The 19,738-nt window shown below is 56.9% G+C and overlaps 1 protein-coding gene across 34 annotated transcripts in view, besides 3 other annotated features; it reads left to right on the top strand.

The window, feature by feature from the left end:
* The window catches only part of ARHGAP22 (Rho GTPase activating protein 22), a 226,435-nt gene that overhangs the window by 196,270 nt on the left and 10,427 nt on the right, over nucleotides 1–19,738 (top strand). For 20 of the 34 annotated variants that reach the window (NM_001347738.2, XM_011540003.2, XM_011540006.3 and 17 more), the window contains 6 exons: nucleotides 105–312; nucleotides 4,862–4,994; nucleotides 5,835–5,908; nucleotides 6,571–6,692; nucleotides 8,856–9,735; nucleotides 13,377–13,960. In NM_001347738.2, the coding sequence (NP_001334667.1) occupies nucleotides 105–312; nucleotides 4,862–4,994; nucleotides 5,835–5,908; nucleotides 6,571–6,692; nucleotides 8,856–9,735; nucleotides 13,377–13,605 (1,646 nt within the window). In that variant the 3' untranslated portion in view covers nucleotides 13,606–13,960. Of the gene's footprint in view, nucleotides 1–104; nucleotides 313–4,861; nucleotides 4,995–5,834; nucleotides 5,909–6,570; nucleotides 6,693–8,388; nucleotides 9,736–13,376; nucleotides 13,961–19,738 lie in introns of those variants that run through there. The other 14 variants (XM_024448100.2, XM_011540013.4, XM_017016476.2 and 11 more) reach the window with 10 other exon arrangements.
* Nucleotides 4,975–5,952: an enhancer, noted in NCBI's record as "H3K27ac-H3K4me1 hESC enhancer chr10:49662087-49663064 (GRCh37/hg19 assembly coordinates)". NCBI's record gives its function as "activates a minimal SCP1, AML or CMV promoter by ChIP-STARR-seq in primed H9 embryonic stem cells {active_cell/tissue: H9 hESC(primed)}" and the evidence as "EXISTENCE:reporter gene assay evidence [ECO:0000049][PMID:30033119]".
* Nucleotides 13,927–14,828: an enhancer, noted in NCBI's record as "H3K27ac-H3K4me1 hESC enhancer chr10:49653211-49654112 (GRCh37/hg19 assembly coordinates)". NCBI's record gives its function as "activates a minimal SCP1, AML or CMV promoter by ChIP-STARR-seq in naive H9 embryonic stem cells {active_cell/tissue: H9 hESC(naive)}" and the evidence as "EXISTENCE:reporter gene assay evidence [ECO:0000049][PMID:30033119]".
* Nucleotides 15,376–15,670: a silencer, noted in NCBI's record as "tiled region #5880; HepG2 Repressive non-DNase unmatched - State 13:Ctcf, and K562 Repressive DNase matched - State 25:Art". NCBI's record gives its function as "represses a minimal TATA promoter and a strong SV40 promoter by Sharpr-MPRA in HepG2 and K562 cells {active_cell/tissue: HepG2 | K562}" and the evidence as "EXISTENCE:reporter gene assay evidence [ECO:0000049][PMID:27701403]".

Below are 19,738 nucleotides of genomic sequence, written 5' to 3'. Positions count from 1 at the left end.
AGGAGCCACCTTTAGCCCTAACAGTGCGCCTGCCCTCCATTGTCCTGAGCACCCAACACTGAGCTGGGTGGTGGAGGGTGTGACTAGCTCCTCTCTGTGCTCAGGGATCTTTGGGCAGCGCCTAGAGGAAACAGTCCACCACGAGCGGAAGTATGGCCCCCGCCTGGCGCCCCTGCTGGTGGAGCAGTGTGTGGACTTCATCCGGGAGCGCGGGCTCACTGAGGAGGGGCTGTTCCGCATGCCAGGCCAGGCCAACCTGGTGAGGGACCTGCAGGATTCCTTCGACTGTGGGGAGAAGCCACTGTTTGACAGGTGAGCTTGTGATCGGGGGTAAGGTGGAGCCATTTGTCCATTCCTCCTGCAGGGGCTCCTGCCCAGGACACCAGCTCCAGTGGGCAGGGGTGGGCTAGCGACAGGATGGTGGGCCAGCCCTCCTAGTGGGCAGAGTGTAGGGCACACCCTCACTCCGCCAGCCCGGGGTCCCCTCTCAGGATGGATGCCTGCCATGCACGAGGCCAGCTCACATCCACACAGCCTGCCTCCCCTGCACATGCTAATAAACCTGACCCAGGCAGGAAGAAAAGGACCTCTGCTGGCTCCCATGTGAGGACTGACCAGGCGCAGCTGCATCCGGACCCCAGGCCTTCTGCGGGGTCTGTCTCTTGGCCGTGCTTCCTCCGGTGACCTACCCCCAGGCTCTATCAATGGCAAGATGGCACAGCAGCTCGGCTCCCCTCCTTTTGGGTTCTGGGGACAGGAGAGCGAGTCTCCTCCATCTGCTCTGGGGCCGGGGCCATGTCCATCCTACCCATCATGGGGGCTTACCCAGGCCCTGGATGCCCCTGGGTGGAGCCAACTATACCCCCAGCCTAGGGCCGTTTGGGGATTCTGTTTCCCCTGACAGTGCCCCCACCCATTATGGGGCAGTTTTTTCATAGAGTTCTCTCTACATCAGGAAAAACTACCCTCCATGGGGCTTATGCCCTGTCTTCTTGGATCTGCCCCAGGATGGGCCCACCAGGACCTGCAGGCAGCCCTGGCCTCCCAGGGCTTCTCCTCTGGGGGCAGAACACTCAGCCCCTCAGCTCTTTCCCAGGCCCGTCACTGCAGCCAGGGGAGGGTGTCAGCTCCTCTCCTTAGATGTGGAGTCCAGGACTGACCACTGTTCCCTAGCGGTGCTCCACCCAGGGAGGTACGGGGGACCCTTCCTCTGGAGCTTTGTGAAGCTCCATCCCAGTGTTGACGCTCAGTGAGCTTGTCGTCCATTCTGAACCTCAGCCAGCCAGGCCTCTTCCATCCTGTGTCTCAGCGTTAGGGTTGCAGATTGCTTCAAATAATGTCACCTGGGTAAGGCCTGGGAGCCGAGACTTTTGGAAGCTCCCCAGGATCAGATGCTCTGCCCTAGTGCCTGATGCTACCTGAGGGGCTTCTGCAGACACAGATCAGACCTTGCCACTCCCCTACTCAAACTCTGCTGGGGCTCCCTGGAGTGGCACAGGCCGTCTGCGCCTCACCCACACTGCCAAGCTTCTCCCATCCTGCTGGGGGGGTCTCCACCTGGGCACACCTGCTCTCCCAAGGTGTGGTTCCTGGCATGCTCAGCCTCCTTTCTCCACCTGGCCTGCCTGCTGAAGCCCCCTTGAGAGGCAGCTGGGCACCCTAGGGTGGGTTCCATGCAGACCTGACTCTCGGCCTCCCAGCAGCCTGGGGCAGCCTTCCCTATGTCTTGGAGGCCCTCCCCTGTCTGCCTTCTCCCTCTCTGGCTGCTTCTACCCTGCTTCTGGAATTGTGTCAGGAGGGCCATCTCCATGGTGGGCATGTTGGCCTTGTCCCTCCACCCCCATCTCAGCAGTGACCCCCATACTGCCACGGTGGCCCTGGGCTTTGGTTTCCTCTCCCTTTAGAAACTCCTCCTGGGGTATCTGAGGCCATCCTTCCCACTTTCTGCCATTTCCATGGCAGCTCCTCTGGCTCTGCAGCTGTACCCACAGAGGGGCCCTCCCCACCCACCCCTGAGGGAGGCCCCCCTTCCCACCCAACCCCAACAGAAGGTCCCCCCTCCCTACCCACCCCCAACAGAGGGTCTCCTCCTCACCCACTTCCAACAGAGGGTCCCGGGATGGAGCTCTCTCCCCAAGGCCATAGCCTGCCTGCCTGCTGGGGTGTTGGCTTCTGTCCTGGCCCCTTCCGCAGGAAGCCCCCTCCTCACTTTCCTGCTCATCTCTATAAGAAGGTCCCCTTTAGCCCCAGGTCCTGGGCTTCTCTTCTGCTAAAGCCTCACCAGGCCTGGAAGCCTCAGTGCCTGGAGCTGTCCCATACTTGCCCCTTCCCAGCACAGTGTCCCCTGGGCACTGGGCTGTCAGTCTCCCGGGTTGCCACCCTGCTGCTGAGCTCTGAGGACAGCCTCCTGTGGGCCGGAGCCTAGGGCTGCATGGACTCCTGGCCGCCAGGCTCTCCTTACTCCCTCAGCTGCTATCCTTTGAGGGAGGGAGCACTGGGAGGCCTAGGGGTGGAGGGGCACCCACATGCATTAGAAATTCTAAGGGGGGTGGGTCTTGACAGATAACAAGTAAACACCAGGGACACCAGTCCCGGGCCTAGTGGTAGGGAACCTCCCAGGGTGCTGCAGATGGCAGGGCTGGGCTGCTCAGGGAGGAGCCCTGCGGACACCCAGGTGGGGTGAAGCAGGCGGCCCGGCTGGGGGGCAGGTCGAGGAAGTGGGGATGGGTGATGAGAAACGGACTCTAGGGGAGTGAGGCGAGTCAGGACCAGGCTGGAGGCATGGCGTGTTCTGCATAGATGCCGGTGTTGGCGTGGGCGGGGGGTTCCCTGGGTACAGAGAGGTGACGAGGAACCTGCAGATGGAGGGTCACCTTGCTGCGGGCTGCACTGACCACCAGGGCCTCTTTGTCCCCAGGGCAGGCACCTCGTCCCCTGACCAGCTGCTGCCCTTTCTGCCCCACCCCTGCCCCCACCCTCCGCCTGCGCTAATGTCGCCGCATGCTGGGAGGCCCACAGGCTGGGGAGGCGCCCACAGGACCACGGGCTGTACAGAGTTCTCCTTGGGTGCTTGTTGGAGGGGGGAAGGGGACAGCAGTTTAGGGAAAAGTCTCAAGAAAAGGCCTGGTGACAGCTGTTGGAGGAAAGGCACTGCAGTGGGGAAGGAGGGAGGGAGGGAGGGAGGGACGAGGAAAGGAAGTAAGAGCTCAGGTACTGAGCGGATAGGGGGTCAGGCAGGGCCAAGCAGCAGGACCCTGCGGGGCAGGGATGCAGCCGGGCAGGTCTGCAGAGGAGGGGTGGCTCTGTGTCCACTCACCCAGGGCAGAAATGCTCCCATCCCCCCAGCTGCAGAAAAGGGGAAGACATACGGGCTGGCTGCCAACCACACTTCCCTGCCTCCTGCCCTTCCCCCAGTCTCTTGCGCTCCACTCAGGCTGCCACTGAAGCCACGGGCTCCCAGTGGGGAAGGGGCCGCTGGGCTCAAGCCTGGGTACCCAGGGCAGTTGGCCAGGAACATGGCCCGGGAGAAGGCCGAGGAGGGTGTGATAGCAGCATGCCTGGCTGGAGATGGAAGGAGGGTGGGATGGGGGCTGCCTGGATCCAGCCAGACCAAGAGTCACTGAGCCTCAGGCAAGGAGGGGCCCCAGGTATATGGATTTGGGGTGCATATGGATACATGGAACCCCAGAATCCCAAATGTCAGGGCCAGAAGGTATTTATCTCAGTGAGCCTAGCCTGGGATTCATCCGGGATCAGGTGATAGCATAATGGCACAGCCACAGTCTCCTGGCCCCGTCTCATCTTTCCTGAGGGAAATGCAGCCCAGGGTTTAAGTCCATGGTTCTAGACAAGCAGATGAACAACCTGGGGCCCATATACGGCTTGGAACGCAAGCTCGGAGGAGATGCCAAGGCTCTCGTTTAGGACCTGAACTGCAGACCCCACACAGGACCCAGGGAAGGACTATGCCAGGCCCATTGCCACCACCATCCACAACTGGTCTACTTCTGCCTTGGCAGCTCCGAGCCAGAGCGGGAGACTGAGGCCTGGAGTGGACTCCTGGGGCACTGGAGAGGGGGTGATGAGCTTAGAAGCCTAGGTGTCACCACTGTGGACAGGAAGAGAGGAAAGGGCCTGACCTCCGACCTGCTCCTGCTGTTGGTCCCCGGATACCTGCTCCCCAACAAGGAGCCAGCAGCCCTGCATTGTGGGCGCCTTTGATGCAGCTCCTCCCACTCCAGCCAAAGTCAAGTGCAGTGGAGAGGGCAAGCTCGGGCTGGGGGTTGGCAGCACCTATGGAGGGCCTGCAGGATAGCTGTTCCTACCGCAGAGCAGGCAGCTCCCACATCGTCTTGCAGGGGACCTTGGGATGGCCACCAGGCCTGTGGAAGGGGCTCCCTGGCCCATGTCCCAGGGCCCTCCCCTGTGCAACCTGACCTGCATCACACTTGATTCCTCTGGCCCAGGGCAGCTGCTAGGGTGGAGCAGCTGTGCCCTGCAGGGCCCTGTGGCTTCACAGTTCCTGGAGTCCTACGCAGTCTACGCAGGACAGGTTCTGGACGGACTGACACAGACATGAGACTCAGGGATTCTGAGCAGGTGCCTAGGCATGATGGGTGGTCCCTGAGCTGGAGCTCCTGGCCATGGATACTTAGTCGTCCCTGCCCCAGCTCTATCCACTGCTCCCAGAAGCAGCACTGGCCTTTCCTTGACCAGGGCAGCTGGCCGCAGATGCAGCCCCCAGTGCGCCCAAGAATGCACCTGAGACCAGAGGCTGCCCCTTGGCGTCAGGGCGTACCAGTCACCCCTGAAGTCCCCTGGCATCCCAGGCCTCACACACCTGTCCTCTTCCCCCCCACAGCACAACAGACGTGCACACGGTGGCCTCCCTGCTGAAGCTGTACCTGCGGGAGCTCCCCGAGCCCGTGGTCCCCTTCGCCAGGTACGAGGACTTCCTCAGCTGCGCCCAGCTGCTCACCAAGGACGAGGGGGAGGTCAGTGGCTCCTGGGGATAGCTCCTGGGAGATGGGCTGGCTGGGTGGCAGCCTGTAGACTCAGGACACAGACTCTGACTTTTCATGAATTTTCATGGCACATGGATCCTGTGGAGGCCTGCTGTGTTGGGGGTGTGGTGGGGGCCTGGAGCATCCTGCTTGGGTGGGGGAGGGGCCAGGGCATCCTGCTCAGGTCGGGGAGGGCTGGGGAATCCTGCTGTCTGGAGCCATACCTGTCTGCGGCCTTGGTCCCTGGGAGGGGTGGGTCCGGTGTGCCCAGCTCTGGCTGTCACACCAGTAGGTGCTCACACTCCCCACACCCGACTCAGGCCACTCAGGCCCGTCACAGGCTCAGAAACCAGGACATCTTTTATTTATATCTTGCTTCCTTCCCAAAAGAATTTGAGCTGGCTCCCAGGACAGATGAGCCAGCCCTCCCGTCCCCACCCGTGCAGGTGCTGGTCTGCAGCCCCAGGTGGCTCAGGGCCAGGGAAGGACTGTTTGCCTTCCCTGCGGCCATGTGGGAGATGAGGGCTCACTATCTGGCAAATATTTGTGTCTTGATAAGTGAGCTGAGTGCTGGCCCTGACATTCCTCCACGGGCCCTGTAGAGGCTCACCCCTCACACCAGCTCCTTGGAAGCAAGTTAGCTTCCCAGGAGGTCACAGCTGGGCCCTGGCCACTCCTTGAGGGGAGGTGGAGGTGGTGGAGCCCTCTGGTCTGTTGGGGCTGGGCTGCCGTAGCCCCCACCTCCCTTCTCTTTGCCCACCCCTCCTCGCAGTCAGAGAACAGTCAGGGCCCTCATTGCCGGTGTTTGAAATTCTGTTCTTCATTCCTAAGGGCACTCTGGAGTTGGCTAAACAAGTGAGCAACCTTCCTCAGGCAAATTACAACCTGCTCAGATACATCTGCAAGTAAGCGGCTTGGCAGGAGGGAACCACACTTTCCTGCACTGGCTCCACGCTCCCCCAACCCCACAGCGAGACACGCAACTCTTCCTTGTCAGAGGGGGGCCCGGGTCATTCCCCACCCTGCACAGCCTCAACCCAGCGTGGACGAAGCAGGGAGTGGAAAAGCACAGACCCTGAGTTCACGAAGCTTACAGTCCCATGGGAGCAGCTGGTTTTAAACAGACCTGGGTAGATAATTCCAGAAGGGACATACCCTCTGTCCCTCCTGGGTGCCTCTTGCCATCCTGTCCCCCCGGCATCTGCCCCTTGACCCCAACCCTTCATGTATCCCCATCCTAGACACTGAGAAGGGGAATGCAGGGGCGGCGCTGACTGGGGTCTGGGACTTCCCAGAATTTGTGCCCACTACAATTTGCAGAGTCTTGTCCTCCTTTCACACAAATAGCGGTGGGCCCTTGTCCCAGTGACTTTTACTTCTGATGGCCCTCTTGGGCCCCAGGGGAAGCCTTCCCTCATCGAGCCTGGCAGAGGCAGGCTACACCCAGTGGGCAAAAGCCCACAGGCAGCAGGGCTCAGCAGGGGTGTGGCGGTGCGTCCAGGCCGCACACAGGAGACTGGGCATCACAACTTGCTTCTTTGATGACTGCTGCTTCCTTACTTTGCAGGTTTCTGGATGAAGTTCAGGCATACTCAAATGTCAACAAGATGAGTGTCCAGAATCTGGCAACCGTTTTTGGACCTAACATTCTGCGGCCACAGGTAGAGGACCCAGTAACCATCATGGAAGGTAAGTGGGAGGTGTACCTGGTGGCCCTGGGTGCTGCCGGGGTCTGGGCTCATCTTGGTCCACGGCAAGTCCTTGGAACCATCCCAGCCCAGGGCCAGGCCAGCAGGAGGGGTGGCTCAGGTGGCACATCTCCATCTCTGGGGACTTGGCAGGAACTTCTGCAGACCTCACCCCCGACCCCCATGAGGTTCAGCTATAAGATAAAAAAGGAACTTTGCCCTGCGATGGGCAGCAGCAGGTCACTGGGTGCAATTAGAATAGCCAGGGGTTTCTGTGGATGGAAGAGGCTGGAGGGATGGGAGAGGTCAGCACTTTTGCCCTTGAACACAGACATGTTTGCTTTTCTTTTACAATTAAGCAATTGTCATAGGTTCCTGGATGTCAGCTTTGCAAACCCTGGAGAATTTCTCTATGATAAATAACAATAAGTGATTAAAAATAGCAGCAACAGCAGCCGCTTTCAGTAAGCTTCTACCAAGTGCTTTGTTTGTATCATCTCATTTCAGGCTTTACAACCAGCCTGTGCTGTGGTAATCGCCCCCACTTTACAGATGAGGAAACTGAGGCCAAGAGAGGCGAGGGGACTCACCAGAGGCCAGTCAGCCAGACTTAGCAAAGGGCACAGGTGTAGGCTGCCATAGAAAAGACAGCCCACCTCATAGGGCCCATGGAACACTGTCCCCAGTGGAGTATGCATGAGAGACGTGCTGCTCAGACAGGAAGCCCACAGCTGAGGCTGTTCTTGCCCTTATCCCATGTTGAGGGACGTGGCGGAGTGCTTTTGCTCAAGTCCGCACTTTGGTCAGCCCTGGCTGGGTCTCCCACCCCAGGGCCCCTTGAGGCCAGGAAAACACAAGCTCCTACCTGCCTGGTGGTACAGATGCTTGAGGGAGGAGGCCTGCCCTGCCTGCTTCATGGAGTTCCTGCTTCACCTAGGTTCTTGGCCTCAGAATTCCTTCCTTGACTTCTTCCAGGATTCCTAGTCAACTTCAGTGGGAGAGTCCACCCTGGCACTCAGCCCTCCCTCCTACCGGGGGACCTCCTAGCGTCGGGCCTTTGTGGTGAGGGTGGCAGGAGGGAATGAGGCAGCTGGATAGATGCCCTGGTCCTTCCTGCACTGCCCACCTCCGCTGCAGGCCCCCACCCCACCACCGTAGGAACTGAGTCCCCAGGACTGGGGGCTGCATCTCAGGGGCCTTGGCCTAGACACGGGGGATTGTGTGTGTGCGAGATTATATGTATGTGGGATTCTGGGGGGTGAGCAGGGTGCACTATGTGTGCAGTTGTGTATGGGGGAATTTGGGGAGGCTGCGGAGGGTGCATTGTGTGTGCAATTGTGTGTGGCGGATTTTGGGCAGTGGGTGGGGTTCATTGTGCGATTCTGTATGGGGGGATTTGGGGAGGCTGGGTAGGGGATTTGTGTGTTCACTTGTGTGTGTGTAGGGGCTTTGGGGAAACTGGGTAGAGTGCATTGTGTGTGTAATTTTATGTGTGTGGGATTTTCGGGAGTGGGCATTGTATGTGCGATTGTGTGTTGGGGGATTTGGGGAGGCTGGGTGGGTGCATTGTCCAGTTGTGTGTGTGTGTGGGACTTTGGGGGTGGATGGGGTGCATTGTACGTGTGATTGTGGGGGGTATTTTAGGGGGTGGGCGGGGTGCATTGTGTGTGCAATTGTATGTGTGTGCCCCCACACAGGAAAGATGGCTCTATTCCCTGTCCCAGAGCCCTATGCTCCCAGAGTGTGGACATTCAGGCATGGCAGTTGTCAGCAGCACAGAGGGGTGACGTGGGGCAGCCGAGAGAGTTCTGGCATCTCAGGTCCCAGGTTCCAGTTCCAACCTGCCACCTGCTCACCGTGCAGCCTTGGTGCCTGCTTCCTCACCCCACCCCAGCTGGAGGGCGTGAGCGCAGGCACAGTGCTTCCTCCCTGCTTGCGGCTCTGTGCCTGAGGAAGGCGGTTCTGCGGCCCCATCCTGCTGTCCTGCCTGGAGTTGGAGGGTGTGTGGTCCTTTCCTCTGGGCGGATGAAGGCTCCCTTGAGGGGCGGCCTGGCTCTGGGGACAGGGCCAGCTCCCACGAAGCTGCAGCTTCTCCATGACTGGCAGAGCGAGCCTGGGCCGAGTGGCTGGCAGCAAGGCCCTTCTCCGCCTCTCTTCCCGGCAGGCACTTCCCTCGTCCAGCACCTGATGACCGTCCTCATCCGCAAACACAGCCAGCTCTTCACGGCACCGGTCCCGGAAGGGCCCACCTCCCCGCGCGGGGGCCTGCAATGCGCAGTGGGGTGGGGCTCCGAGGAGGTCACCAGGGACAGCCAAGGAGAGCCCGGCGGCCCCGGCCTGCCCGCGCACAGGACCTCTTCCCTGGACGGGGCGGCCGTGGCGGTGCTCTCCAGAACAGCCCCCACGGGGCCGGGGAGCCGGTGCAGCCCTGGGAAGAAGGTGCAGACCCTGCCCAGTTGGAAGTCCTCCTTCCGGCAGCCGAGGTCCCTATCGGGAAGCCCGAAGGGGGGCGGCTCATCCCTGGAGGTGCCCATCATCTCCTCCGGCGGGAACTGGCTTATGAACGGGCTGTCCTCCCTGCGCGGACACCGCCGGGCCTCGTCGGGAGACCGGCTCAAGGACTCGGGCTCCGTGCAGAGACTCTCCACCTACGACAATGTGCCCGCGCCGGGCCTGGTCCCCGGCATACCCAGCGTGGCCAGTATGGCGTGGTCCGGGGCCTCGTCCAGCGAGTCGTCGGTGGGGGGCTCACTCAGCAGCTGCACGGCCTGCCGCGCCAGCGACTCGTCTGCCCGCAGTTCCCTGCACACCGACTGGGCCCTGGAGCCCTCCCCGCTCCCCAGCAGCAGCGAGGACCCCAAGTCCCTGGACCTGGACCACAGCATGGACGAGGCGGGCGCGGGTGCCAGCAACAGCGAGCCCAGCGAGCCGGACAGCCCCACCCGGGAACACGCGCGCCGCTCCGAGGCCTTACAGGGGCTGGTCACTGAGCTCAGGGCCGAGCTGTGCCGCCAGCGGACTGAGTACGAGAGGAGTGTGAAAAGGTAACTTGCTGCCCCGTGGAGCCTCCTGTGACGGGGCGGAGCCTGCAGGGAGAGCCGTGCTCTTGGCACATGGGCGTCGGCCCCTAACCTCTGGGCCGCTGGCCCTGGAAGCCAGCCTCAGAGAGGGGAATCCTAGCTCTGGGAAAGCCCTAGGACTGGCAGACTTGGCACACAGTCAGTCTGGCACGCAGTCAGTCTGGCACGCAGTCAGCGCTGCAGAGGCCTGCTGACTCCACGCAAGTGGGAATGCCTGCCCAGCCTGCCGGGGACCTTTGCTGCAGGGGTGGAAACAGAGTCAGTGTGCAGTCTGCAGCCAGGGAGGGGGCGGCCCCTGGAGGCAGGTCCCAGGCTTGTCCCAGTACAAGGGCTCATAGCCTGGATGCTGAGTGCCAGGAAGTGCCCAGGCCCCAGGTCAGCCAGGCTGGAAGTGAGGACCCCTTCCTTGATGGGATCAGAATCCAGTTTCCCTGCTGAACCAAGCCCTCGTGTCCGCCCTTGTCACAGGATGGTTGTGCTGCACCCTGAGGCTTACAATCTCACTAACAGAGGGCCAGAGTTCCAGCCTCCCATGAGGACCGGGGTTGCCCTCTGCAGTGAGGAACCTCAGCTCCTGGAGACCAGGTTCTCCAGCGCAGGGCGTTTCCCTCAGCATCTCAGACTCCTTGGTCCCTCTGGCTGCAGGTCCCCGTTAGCTGGCCGACCTGTTCACCTGGGTCCCACCCACTAGCAGGGAATTCCTTTATCCATTAGAGGCAGTGGATGGAGGTGGAAGGCATTCCTGCTGCCCACTCTGAGCCTGTGATTTCCACTGGGAGCTGGAATGGCAGCCCTTGCCCTTTTGCTCTGCTGACAGCTGTTCCCTGGGTGATGGAGAGTGCCAGGCATGTACAGGCACCATGTCTGCAAAAGGAAGAGAAGGAGAGGGACCTTGAGGGCAGAGGCCTCTGCCATGGGGGAAGTCACAGCAGGCAGTGCCTGAGCCAGGGCTGGAAGGACCCATAGGATGGAGCCGAGAAAGGAAATAGCATCAGTAGAACCCAAGGGCCTCCAGAAATATAGTAGAAGATGCTATCTGCTGCAGATGAGCTCACAGACCAAACTACAGGGTACATGGGAACTCTTACCATACAGAAGGCTGTCCATGCAGAAGGCTGGGCTGGACCAGCTGCGCCAGTTGTGTGCTGAGTGCCTGGAGCTCCTCTGGCCTGCTCTGAGGCCTGGTTTCTCAAGGGAGATGCAGGGCTCTTTGACTCCAGGTCAGACTACTTGGATTCTAGTCCCAGCTCCACCAGGGATTGGCTGAGTGTCCCTGGCAGGATCTTTGGGCCCCAGTGACCTCACCCATTTGTCCTGAGTATTAAGTGACTCACAGTGGATGAGAGCGCTCGGGAAACTTTGCTGCTCGCATTGACTCCTGCCTGGTGGCTGGAGGTAAGATGAGGTTCCCAGAGGAAAAGGGATAGCAGTGGTAGCCCTTGTGGAGGGACTGTACTCGCTAGCAGAGTGGTCTGGGTCGTTGTCTTGGTTAGAGGGAGGGTCTAGAGTGAGGAAGGTCTCTGAGCACAGGAAGGAAGGTGAGGGCATTAGCACCTGTCCTGTCCAGCAGGTGATTGGGGAATGTGTGTCCTGTTCTCTGGAAGTATGGGCCATCGGGTGGGGGGTGGGGTGAGGCTGGCCTTGTCCTGGCTCCCAGGACTCTGGTCAGAGCCCCTCCCCAGGGCCCTGCTGGGAAGTCAGCCTTCCTTCGTGCATTCCCAAAAGAGAACCTGTTTTCTGTGAAGTACCAGATGCTGTGCAGGTGGCCACAGTTGGGGTGAAAACTGATCAAAATCTCTGTCCCCATTCTTATTTGGGTTGCAGGGAGACAAAGACCATAAGCACGATACATTTTTAAAAATACACGGTGTGTTAAAAGGGAGATGAAGGAGGGGAACATAGAGCAGCATGGAGGGGAGCGGAGAGGAGCCTCAGGGTAGAAGGTTGGAGGGCCCTGGGAAGGAGACCCCAGAGCTGCAGCCAGCACTGACCCCAAGACCCCTGTAGTGGGGGAGAGTCAGGGGCTGGGGACTGGAGATGTGTGGGGAGGGGGCAATGGGTGGGGCCTTTTGGCCTGGGCAATGCTCTGGTTTTTCGTGGAGTGAGATGAGAATGAAGTGAGAAGCCGCTGGAGGGTCTTGGCACATTGGGCACTTTGACAGGTGCACCTGGGTGCCATGCCGAGCAGAGCTTGCCAGGGGACAAGGGCAGAACAGACCAGTTAGGAGGTGTGGGGGTCTAGGCCTGACCTATGGGGGGTGTGGCCCTATGGGGCAGCAGGTGGAGGTGGGGGAAGCGGCCAGGTGCTGAGCATATTTTGAAGGTAGAGCCAAAAGGTTTTGCTAACTGATCAGATATGGGACCGAGAAAAAGAATGGACTTAGGGGAGGACATCATTGTTCAGCTGAGCAGCTGAGGGAAGGTGTTCACCAAGAGTGCACCAGGGCTGCGGAAGAGTGGTCTGGAGATGAGGGTCAGGACCCTTTAAGTCAGAGATGCTGATGAAATGGTGCAGGGTCATCAGCGTGTAGTTGGGGCTTGGAGTCTTGAGCCTGACAGAGAAGGAAGAGGGGAGGTCCAGGCCCGAGCCAGGGGCAGCAGTGGGGAGGTGGGTGGCTTCTCTCTGACAGCTGTCTGTGATCCTGGTAGGGAGGGCTCAGGCCATGCTTCAAGCTCAGTGATGAGGATGGAGGCTTCGTTTTGGTGGGTTGAGGAATCCGTGTTTATTCATCATGCACCACGTACCAGGTGCTGTGCTGGCCCCTGGCATGTTCCAGTCCATGGTTACCAGTGCTCTGAGGAGCAGTTACCCTCTGCATTTCACTGTGGCTTGTGTCCTGTCCACAGCCATGTGGCTCAGAGGTCACCAGGCTGGGCATTAAAATCCAGCATATGTTCCCAGGGGCTGGGCTCAGGTGTGTCCCTTCGGAAAGACAGAAGCTGGTTGTCTGGTCAAAAAGATGGCCATGCCAACCTTGGCACACTGCAGCATGAGCCTGCATGGAAGCGTGTGGTATAGGCTCTGGTGGCACAGAGGAGCACCATTGTGACCTGCTGGGGAGGATCACAGGAAGTAGCATCATGGAGGGGGCGCTTGAGCTGAACATGACGGGAGAGCAGGAAGGGAAGTGACTACCCCACAGGATCTTCTGTGGGTCACCACGTGTGGCTGGATCATGGGGACAGTGTGGGGAGCTGCAGGGAGCTGTGGGAGGGGAGGCCACAGCACAGGAGCAAAGGCCAGGGGACAGTCCGAGTCCCAACCCTCCCCATGCAGGGGCCTGTACTGTTCCTACCAGCTGGCAGGGATCCCATACTGCACTGGAGGGGCAAATGCGGACCCAGGGAGGCACCGAAGGCATGGATCATTGTGTTGGCATTTCGGGATCACAGGCCCAGAGGAGCTAGGGGAGCTATGGCAGGGGGCAATTTGCTCATGGGTGAAGTACTGGGGTTCTTGTGAGGAGCAGATGAGCCAGGGTTTCCTCCTGCCGCCATGGCTTGGCCTGACCCCTCAACCCACAGTGAGCACAAGCATGGTATACCCATGGGACAGTGAACCTGGCCCGCAGAGTCTCAAACAGCATCTCTCCTTGACTTTTCAGAATCGAAGAAGGGAGTGCTGACCTGAGAAAACGAATGTCCCGGTTAGAAGAAGAACTGGACCAGGAAAAGAAAAAATACATCATGCTGGAAATAAAGCTGCGGAACTCTGAACGGGCGCGGGAGGATGCGGAGAGGAGGAACCAGCTGTTGCAGAGGGAAATGGAGGAGTTTTTTTCGACCCTAGGAAGCTTGACTGTTGGGGCAAAAGGTGCCAGGGCCCCAAAGTAAAAGGAATGGCAGAGCTCACTTCTGTACCACGTCTGCTGGTCTCCAGCCTTGTATGGAGTTAGAAGCGTCTGTATCTCTGGAGCAGCCAGGCGCTCTGGAGCCAGCTGGAGAGAGAGAGATCCTGATACCTCTGTGGGGACTGTGGGGACTTTTGGGACCCCACACACTCCAGGTGGGATCAGATGCTGCTCCAACCATGCAGTTCCTGGTGAGGGTCAGAAGGGGACGGTACCAAGAGTAGCGCTTAGCCCTTACCCAGGAAATATCCTTCATGGCCACAGAAATGGAGGGCGCCCAGGATCCAGGCAGCCACCGGGAACAGTCAGCTTTCTTTATTAAATGTGCTCACAAAGCATGGTGCCTTGTTACCTGGCTCATTTTTCATGCCTCGCAATACAGGACACAATACAGGACCACTCCTGTTTCTCCAAGGGCTAGGAGCCCCCTGAGGTATGCCCCTGGGTGGAATAGCACAGGCATTGTGAAGTGGGACGTGAAGCCCCCCAAGGGGCAACAGCCTTGTGCTTTCAGCTGTCTCGTCTGCATGTTCCAGGTGGGATGCCTTTCTTTACTCCCCCCCGCCCCGTAGCCATCTGGACCTCTGCAGCTAGTTTCTGTCTTGGGAGGTCCCCTGGGCTTTCCACCATGGCCCTAGCTCTGCTCCAGGGCCAGAGCCTGAGTGGGCACCCAGCACAGATGCTGTGCTTGGGCGAGGTGTGGGCAAGTGTGGCCACTCTACAGGAGGGCTGAGCCAAGGCCATGGGAAACGTCTGTTCACCGTACTCCAGGTGCCTATGCCTCACTCTGGGCGCCTGCCCAGCTCCCTTCCAGCCCCCGCTTCCCTGCTGTTCACCCCCCTACTCTGGCTTATCCACAGACTTGAAGGCTCCATTAGGGCAAATCCCTCCAGAAAGCCTTTCCCACCCACAGGGCACCCAGGCCAGGCCCAGCTGGAGCTCCTGGACTGTGCTTCAGGAGGCAGCACAGCAGCGCCTCTGGGACCAGCAGTGTCAGACCACTGTCTTCACCTGCTCCCCTCACGGTGTCCTGATGTGTGGCTGGCCCCTTGCTGCCCCTGAGCAGTAACCTGCAGGGGTTTGTTCAGGGAGCAGTGGTCACCAGAGCGCCCAGTTTCTGACCACAGCCTCTAGAAATGTCACTCAGGCCCAACGAGCTCCATCTAGAGTCAGGTATAAATGTTGCCCACATCTGATGCTTTAAATGCCAGGGGCTCAGTGCTCCCAGGAAATGCTGGCTTCCTGCCAGGAAGGCAGGCCCGCAGGGTGAGGCAGGCAGGGCAGCTCCCACAGTGTGGCCAGCTACCCATTGTCTCCAGGCAGCTACCAGGGGCTCGTCCACCAGGAGGCGGGCACCTGCTCAGGGCCCTCAGCAGCATCAAGGTCTGGATGCCGGAGCTCAGGAGGGGCTGGGGAGAGTGGCGTCTGTCTTTGCTCGGCCACTGACACGCGAGCCAGCCGTCTGGGTGATGGGATTTTTCCCTGGTGTTGAGATGCTACCCTCCCCTCTACTCAAGGAGAGAGAAGAGAATAGGAGGTGACTTTGAGTCCTCACAGCAATGCAGTGAAGTAGAAAATTGGCCCTATTATCCATATTCAGAGGAGAAACGGAGGCTTGGAGAAATTGGGTGGGAACAGCAGTGCGTCCTGATGACCCTGTTGAGTTTTCTCGCCACAGCTATGGAATTCTGCTGATTTTTGACCTGGAGAGAAAATGCCACCAGGCTATCAAAGGAGCAGAGGAGACTGAAATGGGTTTCCCATGATGAAAGGAAGCTTGTCTGTCTGTCTCAACCATTAATCCTGGCAAAGGCTTAGGCTCCTGCTGAGTCCCCAGTAGGGATAGGAGCTCATGAATGCCTGAGCCACATCTGCCACCTGTTGGCTAAGTAGGATCTGCAAATGGCATTCTTATCTCAAAATGAATTGGCATGATTATTCAGTTCTGTTCTCCAATCTCTGTGTAACCAGCACTGGGCATCTTATCTGTAAAACATCTGACTTGACTGTCAGGCACACTGAGTGACAGAGGCTGACCTGTCGCGGGGGCTCTAGTATCCCCACCACTACCCACTTCTCTCAATTGAGTTACATTTGCTGAACCTGGTCCCAAACTGACAGATTCCCATTGTACTTGTTATTGTAATTACATCATTTAATATGAAGTAGACTCATGAATTACATGAATTATGAACATGAAAAGGTAGGGAATTGATTCATCGAAACCCTAGAATGCTTTAGACAGACTCAGTAGAGGCACGTTGCTAAAAAATATTGTCAAATTAAGCATGGATGAGTGAAACATGCAATAGCGAGAAATGGGAAGAATCTGGGATTCTGCTCTCAGAATACTTCAACAGTGTCGTAAAACTTGTGTTTGACTTTAAAGAAATACTGGAAATTGTGAATGTCTCACTAAAAAAACAAAGAGTTGTCTTATGTTAAAAGAATAACAAATGAATGCACATGTTCTTTAAAGTTAAAATACAATTTTATGGGTATGTGTGTGTGAGAAACAGAAATAGAAAGAAAAGGAAGATTCCTTGTCTTAATTGGCTTTTGAGTGATGGACCAGGAATGAATCTTATTCCTGAAGGAATTTCGGAATGGAACCCATATATCCATGTTTCCCTGGTCTGTGGGTAAAAATGGAGTCAGTAACAACATTTCCCGGACTCTCTCCTTCTCCTTTTGATGCAGAACCCCAGGCCCCTGCAGAGCCCTCCCAGTATCCTAAGTAATTCTCTCACGGGTGTCTTGAGTTCCTAGCTAAGCAGCTGTGACATTGCCACACACTGCTGCTGTGTCTCCTTACTCCTGCCTCCACCAAGAACCCCCACTTGCACCAGGATTGCCATCCTTTTCTACCAGCCACATTGCTACTACTTCTGTCTCCCAAAGCAAGCCCCGCAACACTTGAGCACAGGGGTCTCACAATGTGTTGCAGTCTGTGAAGAAGTGGGGTAGGGTAGGATGGGGTCATGAAAAGCCTAGCAGGGGCCAGATACTCTGAGGGCCTATCGCCCATGGTGAGAGGTTATTTTTATTCTAAGGGAAATAGGAAAGCATTTGAGAGCTTTACATTAACTCACATGAATTGACTTCCATTTTGATAATGGAAGGGGAAAGAGAAAGCTTTTGAAAGATGGGAACTCTTGAGCATGTCTGTACACTGCTGCGAATGACCCAAATGACAGGGAGAGAGCTGCAGGCAGGTTCATAGGAATGCACAGCGGTCTTTGAGAAGTCCTGAAAAATGCCAAACATGATTACCTTACATAGCATCCCCCAGCTTTTGTGCAGGAGACGTTTTTATTCCCATAAAGCTTCTCAAGCAGAACACAGCAGTTTCCAAGCAAAGACTCCAGAGCCCGCCTGCCCAGATGCGCATCCTGCCCCTGCCGCATGTGACAAGCTGGCTTGATGACCCCACTCCAAGACAGCTAAATCTCTATGCTATCTGGGCATTGGGTCTTAACCCAATGGTTTCATAAATCCCAAGCCCCTGCACTCAGGCCACAGCTGGTTAAAAAGCTCACCAGTTTAGTAAACCAGCAGCAGCTGGCCCAAAATGCCTGGTAGAGACGTGTTTTTCTATAATTATTTCCTCTTTCCCTTCTTTCAGTGAGCTTTTGATAAATGTCTGTCCACTGTGGTAAAAGGAGACAAGGGGCAGGGTCTGTGGTAAAAGGAGACAAGGGACTGAGGAGTAGAGCACTTTTCTGGGCCCAGGCCTGGTGGTGGCTGTGGCAGTGGCCATGGGGATGGGGAGCCTCGGGGTCAGCACGTGGGTTCATTGGTTCAGCTGCACACTGGTGGTGGGTGGGGGTGGGCTTCAGGTTCTAGAATATCTTTTCCTTGTGACACATCAAATCGAGGGAAACAACAGCACTTGGTTCACATCAAACTCTTCTGGGTATGTTTGCCTAGAGACATAGCTGCCATGCCAGGAGACATGAGAGACAGATGCTTGACTTGACGAACCTGTACACCAGGGTGCTGAGCCGAGCCTGGTACCAGTCAGGATGATGGCGGCAGCCAGCACTCACCGAGCACTTGCCACCCCCTGCCCTGCATGCACACGCCAAATCCTCCCAGCAACACTGCCAGGTGACATTAGGCTTCCCACAGGACAGATGACAAAGCACAGCCCCAGAGTTGAGGCACTTGCAGGGAGTGAGGCAGCCAGTGAGGGCAGGATGCTATGTGGGTATTTGGCACCGGAGCCCATGCTCACATCACTATAATATCACAGCGCTGCATGCAGTGTACTCATGTCACACTTTGAGGGCCATGAATGTTGCATTTTCAGAGGACAGAAATGGTGTAAAGGATACGCTCTAGTCATTAGCTTACCCAGCCCACCATTTATGGAACACCTACTTGCCAGGCATTATCTCCAGTAGGACAGGCTCTTCCATCCAGGGGATCCCAGTGTGAGGCATCAAGAGAAGATGAGAACACAGGATGCTGTCAAGTAACAGTAAGAGGCATGGCTCAGCCAGATTGACACTTGTCCGAGGTGACCTAAATTCTCCATCTTGACAAAACTCACCTGGACCCGCAGGACCCAGTAGACCCCAACCTTTCCAGGACCCTGTCTCATAAAAACACATGTGCCTGGCCGGGCGCGGTGGCTCACGCCTGTAATCCCAGCACTTTGGGAGGCTGAGGTGGGTGGATCACGAGGTCAGGAGATTGAGACCATCCTGGCTAACATGGTGAAACCCTGTCTCTACTAAAAATACAAAAAAATTAGCCGGGTGTGGTGGCGGGCACCTGTAGTCCCAGCTACTTGGGAGGCTGAGGCAGGAGAATGGCATGAACCTGGGAGGCGGAGTTTGCAGTGAGCGGAGATCACGTCACTGCACTCCAGCCTGGGTGACAGAGCGAGACTCTGTCTCAAAAAAAAAAAAAAAAAATGCCTTTGGTTTCTCCCTTTGAACTCTTCTGATCCCTCAGTCTACCCCTCACTTCTCTCAAGACACTGTCATGATTTCTTCTTTACATTTCCATCCAAGTTTTCAGTCCTTTTCACTACCTGCTTCTCCACTCACTTGAACTAGGCCCCACTTGCACTTCTCTAGGTTAACTCTAAAGTGGTATATCCAACAGGAATCTTTCCACTATCTTCCTCTGTCCACAAAATGATACTAACAAAAATAGTGCAAGGGCCATACAAGCAAACAACACAGACCTCACAAGAAAAGAAACTACAATTAGAGAGGTCTACAGGCAGGTGAGGGAGCAAACCAATTGTTCCCTTCCTCCCACTCCTGGAGCGGTAAGTTGGAGTTGATACCATACCTGACATACATTCTGTCATGGACATTTCAAACTGAGATGTACAAATTGCAAAACACCCTGCATGTATTTTCCTTGCACCATCTCTTGTGTGCTGCCCAATCGCTAGGCTCAGCCTTCCCCCAGGTCCAAACGCTAAGCTTGGCGACTTCACCTATGTCATGGCAATACATCTAAATGAGTCCCTTTCTTCCCTTCTCTCAACTGGCTATCTTTGGCCATCAGTCACCAATGTCCACACCTCCAGCCTAACTGCACTTGCTTCTCTTGGCAGTGACCATCCTAAAACAAGGGTCAGGTCATAATACTTTTTTTCCGCCTCAGAAACTACCATGGGTTCCTATCACCTACAAAATAAAGGCAATTCTTGATATTTTCAGGTCTGATCCTCAGCTTGTTTCAATTCCAAACTCCAGCGTGTCAGTCTTCTCTCCCATTTCTCCCTGTACCTACACCCATGCCAGGCCGTTCCTCACTGCTTGCCCATGCACTCACTTAAATCTGCTTGCCTTTCCTTCAGCCTGGAATACTCTTCTCCAAACCTTCTTTATGCCAAGGGTCAAAACACAGTTTCTTTGTGAAACTCCTCTCATTTCCTCTAATCAATCCCTGTGGCCAGGTCCTTGTTCCTCCATATACACCATTTCAAGACTCTTGTCATCCGTTTTCTATTTCCTACTCCCAGCTTCTGGCACACTTCTATGTCACTTATATGCTTCCATTAATGGATGAAATTAAGTAAAGTACATGTTAGACAGAAACCTAAAATTTACAAAGCATATTTGAAGTATCTTTTGGTTTCAAATGAAGTC

This window comes from Homo sapiens, chromosome 10, assembly GCF_000001405.40.
Source record: "Homo sapiens chromosome 10, GRCh38.p14 Primary Assembly".
Taxonomy (NCBI): domain Eukaryota; kingdom Metazoa; phylum Chordata; class Mammalia; order Primates; family Hominidae; genus Homo; species Homo sapiens.
The sequence above is the reverse complement of the archived record's forward strand: the minus strand, read 5'-3'. Positions and strand labels throughout refer to the sequence as shown.